The following is a 9,834-nucleotide window of genomic DNA, read 5'->3' as shown; positions in this document are numbered from 1 at the left end:
TTTTTCTACACTCCTCCACGTCCCTCCTCCTATGACTTCTTTCCCTAGAGTTTTTTGATGTGAATCTCAGACATTGTGTTATTTTACCAGTAAATACGTTAGTATGCTAGTCTCTATTAGAGCCTCTACAAGAACAGTAACCCTCATGACAATTTTACACCTAAAAAAATTCACAGTAATTCCTTAATGTCATCCCAAACCCAGCCTTATTCCAGTTCTTCTAATTGTCTTTTCATGGTGGTTGCTTGAATCACGATTCAAGTGAAGTCCACCAATTACCTTTGGTTGTTATGTCTCTGATGTCTCTTTTATTCAACAACAGCTCCTCTGTTTTTTTTTTTTTTTTAATACCATTGATTTGTTGGTGAAACCATTCGTTTTCCCTGTAGAACTCAATATCCTTGCAATAAATTCCCTTTCTGCTTAAATCAGCCAAACTGGACTTCAGTTGATTGCAACTAAGAATTGTGACTGAAACACAAGCCTTTTAGGGTTCCCAGTTTTACAGAGGAGGAAATTGAGGTTCATAGGGGTTAAGTAACTTGCTAAGTTTTCAAAGCTAGTAAGTGTCACAGCTGGAATTGAAATTCAAGGCTCTCTCACTCAATGTCTATTCTATAATCATCAGACTTTCTCCTAGCTCCCTTCCAGTGCTAACATTCTAATATTTCATGCCCCTTTCCTCAGTCCTCAATTCATTTCAGTCAGCAGGACACCTCAGGGGTCCAGAACACCTGGGTTCCCACTGCCAGCAATGATGATCTCTGCTCAGCTCAGCTGCTCCCTGAAACCACTGACTGGGGACAGGAAAGGGGTCCAATAATTGTTGGCTTTGTTACAGTCCATTACGCTTCCTGCCAGAATACAGTTGCAGATGTGGGTAAACAGAAATGTAATCTATGCATGTATCTTTATCTTAACTAAGCCAGTGGTTCTCAAAGTGCAGGCCCCAGAACAGCAGCATCAGCATTACCTGGGAATTTGTTAGAATTCCCTGGACCCACTGAGTCAGAAACTGTGGGGGTGGGGACCAGCCATCTATGTTTTAACAAGCCTTCTTCATGATTCTGTTCAAGTTTGAGGACCACTGCAGGAGGCCTTACCACCTGTGCCTTCCCATAACATCACATTCCTTAAAAATATAAAGTTGCTGTTCTTTTCTCTACCTGCTCACATAGAATTTCCAACATTGCACATTGAGTGCTCTTTCTTTAGTAGCTAGAAATCTTTTATCTACCACTGAGTTTGCTGGTAGACTTTGGTATTTATAAAAATGTTATTCTTTTTTGAAATGTCATTATAATTTAATCTCTCATTTCTTATATTAAAATCACAGCATTGAATGAAGTCCCACATCTCAGACACTAAGGCCTTGTTCTTACTTTGTGAGACTCGTATTTGTTGGAGCTAGAAACTCTGGCTTTCAGGCAAATGGCTCAAGACAACCTTCAAATCCACAGAAACTCATGGAGCGTGTGGGCCTTGCAAAAGAGCCTGTTTGGGCCAGTGGGCTCCCCACCCTTGGCTTGGTCTCTGGTTTCATTCAGCTCTACAGGCAAATGGGAGACAGGGAAGGATCTAGAAAGCCTGAAGAGGCAAATAAAGGTAGGTACGGGAATGTTTGCTGAGTTGAGGGAAGGCCTGAAACTTTGCAAAAATCTTTAAAAGTCATTAAGATTTTTGTGTTCTGGTTGTGGTATTCTGTGGTAAGCCCCATTTGCCCTCTCTTATTTTATGCCTATTTCCTTACACATAACCATTCTGCTAAAATTCCCACGGCTGGATCCTTGCCATCTCATTCATGATGGATAAAACCAGGCACTTGGCTGATGGTCCTGCTGACCTCAGTTGCCCACTCCCGACAGGGCAGCATCTGCCGGCCCTCCCCAGGGCTCCCCTGGGCATCAGCCTCCAGGCCTTGGGACAACACGCCCAGGTCATGGGGCCACACTGACCTGTCCGCAGCAGTGTGTTTGGCTTCCTGCTCAGCCTCAACTCTGTGTTCACATTTCAGGTCCCACTGGGAGATGTGAAAAACTGCAGGAGTGTTCTTTGCAAGGCACCATCTGTTTTTCCTCTCCTGTTCCAGCCTTTTTCCTCCTAATCTTCATTCTTTTCCAGGACACAGTGATACATCAAGAATTATTTAATACTTTCCTTCTCAACCAATTCACAGTTTCCTCCCTCTGTAACTTTCTGGGCCACACTGAATTTCCCGCCAGCGAGAAACAGGCTAATCTTACCACATGATGTCAAATTGCAGCTATGCCGCACGCACACGTAGGCACAGGAGTGCGTGCGCACACTCGCACACAGAATGTCTTTAGGTTTGCCTCACCATTCCACAGTGTTTTCCCTTCAGAAAGTTAATGAAATCTCTCCATGGCACTAAAACCACCAATACTGATTCTACTTAGTAACAAATTGGACGTTTCTGGGAAGGGTTTCCCGTGTAATGTTTGGGCTTAATGTTTGTAGTTTGTGTCGGGTCATGACTTATCCAAGACATCACTCCCCTTCATTAAGTGAAAAGTAAATACATCTCCAGTGTTACAAAAACAAGCTGCTATTTCCCCAGAGTCAGTTATCTGAATCCAAGCCCTCTTTCTTGGAGCCTGAAGACCACAGTCTTTACACAATGAATAGGCACGGATGTGTGTGCCAAGGTGCCTGGCCTAAGAGAACAATGAAAAAAACCCCTCTTTTATCCCCCACCTTCTCTGGGTCTCTCCATTTCTTTTGGGGCTGTCATGGGTTCTTAACATGATATAAGAAGGTGCCTGAGGATCATTTACTTCTCTTGGCATGGGAACGTTGCGGGGGTTTATGCTTCCCCATCAATCTCTGCTCTTGGCTCCTTCTCACCAGGCTCCAGAATGAAAAATGAGAATGCTTCAATCTCGCATATTAAACCATAACTAATTATTATTAGATCGGTTTTCACTTTTTTCCCAACCCAAATGTCAAAGGCAAAGGTCTTAATTTACTAGCTCCAGTGGGCTGCAAGCTAGGGTGAAAAGGAGGACTGGAGATTCCAGGCTGACTGCAATGGGCTCAAAATCTCCAGCAAGCAAAACAGCTTTCGGCCACTTGAAGGCATGGACTCCAGTCTGTTCACCGGATCGCCCCTTACATGCTCTCAATGTTGCTCACATTCTCTGAACAGAGGAAAGATGTCTGCGGGAAGCAGGAGTTGCTCGGCGCTCTGGTATGACACCACGTAAAAGCCAGGCAGGCACTGAGAGTTTAGGGCCACCAAATGTCACAGCTGGAAGAGACCCCTCAGATAGCCTGCGAGCACCACAAACTCCTCCAATTACCAGTGAGCAAACCAAGGTTTGCAGAGGGGCCGGCTATGGTAACAGCCACAAACCTCTCTGTTTCAGGCTTCCTCTTTCCTCAGTGATCTGGACCATGTCCACCTCTTGGCCATCACAGAGCAGAGGAAAGGGTCATGGATCAATGGAAAGTGCAAGAGTAAATCCGGAGGTCTTAAATTCTACTCTTATGTTTTGGCACCTAGAAAAAAATGTAAGCTAATCCAAATCTTATTTATATTAAATTCTCCCAAAAGGCATGGAAAGTCAGAGAATCAGAACAGATACAAACACACTCAGTACACTGTGGAGCCCTGAGTCAGACTGGGCCATTACATCAAACGCTGTTGAGCATGGGGGTAAACAATCTGGGGTCTGAGGTGTGACGGGCCTAGTACTCAGTCCCCACTCTGCCTTTCACAAATGTTAACCTTGGGCAACCACAGTCTCTCCAAAGGCTGAGTTCTGGTTGGTAAAGGAGTAAGAATAGCACCCCGCTTGTGGGATTTCTATGAAAATTTAAAGGGCTTAATAAAGTCCTTAGTACATAAATCTTAGATAATGTTATTATTTCATTACAGTTAATACTAGATGTGGCATTGGGAGAAAATATTCTGGGTGTATTGAGTATCCAATTAAAATTTCTAGAAAACTACTAGGCACTTAAAGACATGAAATTAAGAAATAAATAACTTTATATCATCATGGGACCCTACCTTTTGAGACTCACATCCTCTAAAGGAAATGTCAAAACCGTATATGAGTACAAGTTACTTTCTCGCTTCTGTTACTCATAAAAGCTCACTGAGTGAGCAAATCCTCCTCGGCCCCTGTTGCCTTCCTTCCTTGTGGTCTTAGAGTCCTGAAGTGGCCTCTGGGGACCAAAGGGACTCCCCTGCACTGTAAGTAAGGCAGTAGGGATCTCACGAACGAGCACTGTGCTTTCTTGTCACCCTGTAGAGCAGGATGACTTGAATGTCAGCTCTTACAGTCAGCATGTCTGTGAGTGCCTGTAACATATCTAGACAGCAGGAATGTTCCATAGAGAGGGGATAGAGATTTCTCTGCAGGAACAGGAGGTGAAGGAATGGAATGGGGAGTGGTATGGATGAATAAAAAAGACTGGGTGAGCATGAATAGAAAATAGAATTTCCCCTCCTTGCCAAATCAGAGAGGGATTAGCTTGTGATCTTATGAATTTGGAAGGTTTTGTTTGTTCATTTTGGTGCTGGTTGGGGGAGCATTAGGGGAGCAGACAAGGCCACCTGAATTAGAGCTGGGAGAAGGCAGCTATTAGTATACAGACTATGGATTCTAAAGAGACAAGGACAGGGCCATTTGAAGTGGGTAGTATCAGGGCTGAGAAATGCCAAGAGTACAAATCTCCTTTATCTTTAATGACCCCAAATGAAGTGACAGCTCTCACAAGGCTAGAAACATGAAAAGGAGGAAAAGGACTTCCTGGCTTCAAAGGAAAGACACTAAATTAATATTACATTTTGCATTTTTGTTGATAAATTCTGTGCCACTGATGGCTATCAGATACAAGGGTGGGCTAGGAACAGAGCCCAGTTTCAAGAAGCAACTGTTTTCTAGACCTAAGGATATTAAAGCAGTTAGGATAGAAGACACCAAGCTTGCCGCTCTGCTTACACCACATGTAGTTAAATGTATTACATAGGTGCATACGTATACATGTACTTTTTTCTTAATCCTTGAAAGATAATCAAATTATGGTTTGGGGGGAATGGAGTCCTTTTGGTGACATAACTTTACTTTCTTTCTCTCTTTTTTTTTTTTTTTTTTTTTTGAGATGGAGTCTTGCTCCGTCACCAGGCTGGAGTGCAGTGCTGTGATCTCGGCTCACTGCAACCTCTGTTTCCCAGGTTCAAGCAATTCTCCTGCCTCAGCCTCCCGAGTAGCTGGGATTACAGGCGTGTGCCACCACGCCCAGCTAATTTTTCTATTTTTAGTAGAGATGGGGTTTCACTATATTGATCAGGCTGGTCTTGATCTCATGACCTCGTGATCCACCCGCCTCGGCCTCCCAAAGTGCTGGGATTACAGGTATGAGCCACCGTGCCCGGCTACTGTCTTTCTCATTCTTATCTCAAAACCGAGAGAATCAGTTTTTTGGTTTTCTTTCTTTTTTTTTTTTCCCCCATGGATAGCAAGTTCCACACCCCTCAACTTTGGCAGGGTTCACATGAGGAAAGTGAGATTCTGGATCTCTGAAACTGAAATCCACAGTCCTTGCTGCTAGTTCTTAAATTCATAATTCACACAAAATGTACTGTGATGGTTGGTATCTGTGTCAGGCAGGAGATCCTAGGCTTTCCTGCAGGACAAGCAACTTCAAACCTTTAGCAACAGAAGTCTGCTTCTGGCTCACCAGGTCCTCTGCAGGTCTGGTCTCATTGACAATCCTAGCAACTGTTTAGTTTTCTGTGTGATTGGCTAGTGTTGTTCCTTCACGCACTCAAAGGCAGCTAAACAGAGGCAAGGCATTAAATGTTTTTCCCTGGAGGTAATAATGCCACTTCTGCTCACATTTTATTGGCTGAAGTAAATCACATGGTCATGCCTATCTTCAACGGAGTAAAAAACTTAAATTTCCAAAAGGAGAGAAGAATTACAGTAATCCTACTGCAATGCCATTGAGTCATTCTGAAAGTGAAAAAGCACACAAATGCACTGTCCTACCTAAACAGTCTCATAATTCAGAGACATTAGCCATTCTTCAGGGCCAATGTATCCAACTCCTCAGCCTCTGCAACCACCCCTCGCACTCTATTAGACACCATATGTTCATTATCCTGACAATGGATGGCTCTTTCCTTAGGTAGCAACTGATAGTCAATAATACACCTCAATTAAACTCAAATTTTGCTCATTTATGCCGGAATTTTGGCATAGCTTAGTTAGAAACTTAGAATTTTATATACCTATAGAAATCAGTCAAATGGTGGTCAGGCACAGTGGCTCACGCCTGTAATTCCAGCAGTTTGGGTGGCCAAGGAGGGCAGATTGCTTGAGGTCAGGAGTTCAAGACCAGCCTGGCCAACATGGTGAAACTCCATCTCTACTAAAAATACAATAATTAGCCAGGCGTGGTGGCAGGCACCTATAGTCCCAGCTACTTGGGAGGCTGAGGCAGGAGAATCGCTTGAACCTGGGAGGCCGAGATGGCAGTGAGCCTAGATTGTGCCATTGCTCTCCAGCCTGGGCAAAAAGAGTGAAACTCCATCTCAAAAAAAAAAAAAAAAAAAAAAAATTAAAAAAAAGAAAGAAATTAGCCAAATGGCCCCAAAATTCTGTTGCCATGTCCACTTATGCAACCTTACTGCCATTACACACATAAGAGTGGCCATTATTCTGTTGGCTTGGGTTTCTGAGGCAATGCTTGTGAGATTATTCGTTTTCTTGTAAGAGTTTTACCTAAAACTTGATTGAGATACAACCATGGGACAATGCGTCCCGGGTTATCACTTCTAAGAATATACCTCTTCTTTCTACTTAATTGTCATTCTTTTTTCTATAGTAATATAATTATTTAAACTAGATACAAATAACTATTAATTTGTGAAATAATAGCTTACTTATGCAGACACGATTTTCTTTGCAAGCTCCACTATTTGAGAATCTTGAAGGAACTTAAATAATAGGGTTGTGGGCAGTTTGTGTATTTATGACAATTTTCCTATGATTTTAATAAGCTTCATATGGTTAGTCAGGAGCACATCAAACTCAGGATTGGGAAGGAGTCCTTCCCTCATAACATAACAGCAATGAAAAAGACAAGAAAGTATAAAAAGCAAATCCAAGGATTTGAAGAGTAGAGCAGTCTAGAAGTCCAGAGTTATTTGGTAAGGGAAAAATTATCCCATCCATCTTACTGTCTCTGATGGGCAACAAAACACAGTAAGAATATAGTTTACAATGAAGATCTCAAACAATAGTTATGTTTCATACTTTTTTAAAAAGTTACCACATATAATAGCAGCAGAAAAGTATAAGATACATAGGAAAGAATTTAACAAAAGATGTGCAAGACTTTAAAAGGTTGTAAAACTATGCCGAAAGACATCTAAGGAAACCTAAATAAATTATATATATATATATATAAATGTATATATGTATATAAATATATATATATATATTATATATATATATATATATTTTTTTTTGAGATGGAGTTTCACTCTGTCGTCCAGGCTGGAGTGCAGTGGCACGATCTTGGCTCACTGCAAGCTCCGCCTCCTGAGTAGCTGGGACTACAGGCGCCTGCCACCAGGCCCAGCTAATTTTTTTTTGCATTTTTAGTAGGACGGGGTTTCACTGTGTTAGCCAGGATGGTCTCGATCTCCTGACCTCATGATCCGTCTGCCTCGGCCTCCCAAAGATAAATTCAATATTTTTTAACAGCAAAAAACTAAAAATAACCCAAATATCCACTGAAAATAAATAAATAAGATATACCATACACCAGGAGGAGAAGACTGAATTTCATAAATATACCACTTCTCAAATTAATATACCATTTCTCAAATTAATCTATCAATTTAGAGCAAATTCTTCTGGAGACTTAACAAGTTAATTCTAATATGTACATAGGAAAGCAAAAGGCAAGAATAGCAAAGACACTCAGAAGAGAATGAAGGGTGAGGAGGTGATTGCCCCACCAGTGTTCAGGCTTAGTGAAAAGGTATAATAAATAAATCAATATGTCACCAGTGCAGATAGAGGCTAAAATGCCAAAGAAATCAGAAGAGAGGGCCTGGGAATAGACCCATGCATAAATGGAAATTTCATATGTGGCTGGTAGCATTGAAGATCTAGGAAAAAAGGGTGAATGAAGGACCACATAGTGCAGAATTAACTGGTTATCCTTGTGAGAAATAAAATGAAATTAGATCCCTCCCACACACAATGCATAAAATCAGTGTCAGATGGATTTAAGGATTAAATGTGAAAAGAAGAAATTTAAAACTTTTCGAAGACAGTATAGGATAACTTCTGTGTTTGTGGTGGTGGTTGTTTTAATTTCACTGTGGTAAAGGATTTCTTAAGACAAAGGAGGCCAAGCCATAAAGGAAAAGGTAGAAAAACTAGATTACATTAAATATAAATTTCTGTTTATCAAAGAACACAATAAAAAATAAAAACATGAAAACCTGTAAACTGAGAGATAATTGTATTATATGCATGTGACATATTAATACATATATGTATGTATGCATGTGTGTCTGTGTATATACACAAAACAAACAAAACTATGTATATGTATATACACAAAACAAACACAGAAAATAGAAAACAAAATAGAAAAATAAGCAAAGACAGGGGTAGGCAATTCACAAAAGAGTAAATCCAAATGGTCAATAAACATATAAAAGGATATTCAATCAGAGAAATGCCAAATGAGATCACAGTATACCCTTTTTTACTCACCAAAATGGACAAAGACATCACCTTGAGATGTGACAGAGTAGGGTGGTACGACCACTATAGCAAATCACGTGTTGGCTGGGCATGGTGGCTCACACCTGTAATCCCAGCACTTTGGGAGGCCAAGGCGGGCAGATCACTTGAGGTCAGGGGTTCAAGACCAGCCTGGCCAACATGGTGAAACCCCGTCTCTACTAAATATACAAAATTAGCCAGGCATGGTGGTGCATGCCCGTAATCCCAGCTACTGGGGAGGCTGAGATAGGAGAATCACTTGAACCCAAGAGGCAGAGGTTGCAGTGAGCCAAGATTGTACCGCTGCACTACAGCCTGGGTGACAGAGTGAGAGTGTCTCAAAAAAAAAAAAAAAAAAGAAAGAAAGAAAATCTCACGTTCTCTGGTCAATGTGAAGATACATCTTCCTCGTGACTCAGCACTCCATTTCCAGGTGCAGGAGAACCATCCACACACCTGCCCAGGAGACATGGCTAAGATGCTCGTACATTTATTATTTTTAATAGCAAAATTCTAAAAAGAGTCTGAGGGGAATGAATGAATCAATCAATCATGGTGCAGTCATGCATGGAATATTATGCAGTAAAATAACTGAATTCCAGCTATTTGTATTTATCTGAATAAATTTTAAATGTATCATGTTGGCCGGGTGTGGTGTCTCATGCCTGTAATCCTAGCACTTTGGGAGGCTGAGGCGGGCAGATCACAAGGTCAGGAGTTCAAGAACAGCCTGGCCAAGATGGTGAAACCCCATCTGTACTAAAAATACAGAAAATTAGCCAGGCATGGTGGCACATGCCTGTAATCCCAGCTACTCGGGAGGCTGAGGCAGGAGAATTGCTTGAACTCGGGAGGCAGAGGTTGCAGTGAGCTGAGATTGTGCCACTGCGCTCCAGCCTGGGACAGAGCGAGACTCTGTCTCAAAACAAAGAAATATAATGTAGTCAATGTTCACATATATATCTGTTTATATAAATATATATCTGAATATATATACAATATAGATTTATCTGTATATATACATCTTTTATACATATACGTATATATTATACAT

The 9,834-nt window shown here is 41.4% G+C and overlaps 1 annotated feature.

Annotated features, from left to right (window-relative positions):
- Positions 1,870 to 2,371: an enhancer, noted in NCBI's record as "H3K4me1 hESC enhancer chr9:89453773-89454274 (GRCh37/hg19 assembly coordinates)". NCBI's record gives its function as "activates a minimal SCP1, AML or CMV promoter by ChIP-STARR-seq in naive H9 embryonic stem cells {active_cell/tissue: H9 hESC(naive)}" and the evidence as "EXISTENCE:reporter gene assay evidence [ECO:0000049][PMID:30033119]".

The sequence above is a fragment of the Homo sapiens genome, chromosome 9, assembly GCF_000001405.40.
Source record: "Homo sapiens chromosome 9, GRCh38.p14 Primary Assembly".
NCBI classification, from domain to species: Eukaryota; Metazoa; Chordata; class Mammalia; order Primates; family Hominidae; genus Homo; species Homo sapiens.
Note: the sequence above shows the minus strand (reverse complement) of the source record. Positions and strands in the feature narration are given on the sequence as shown.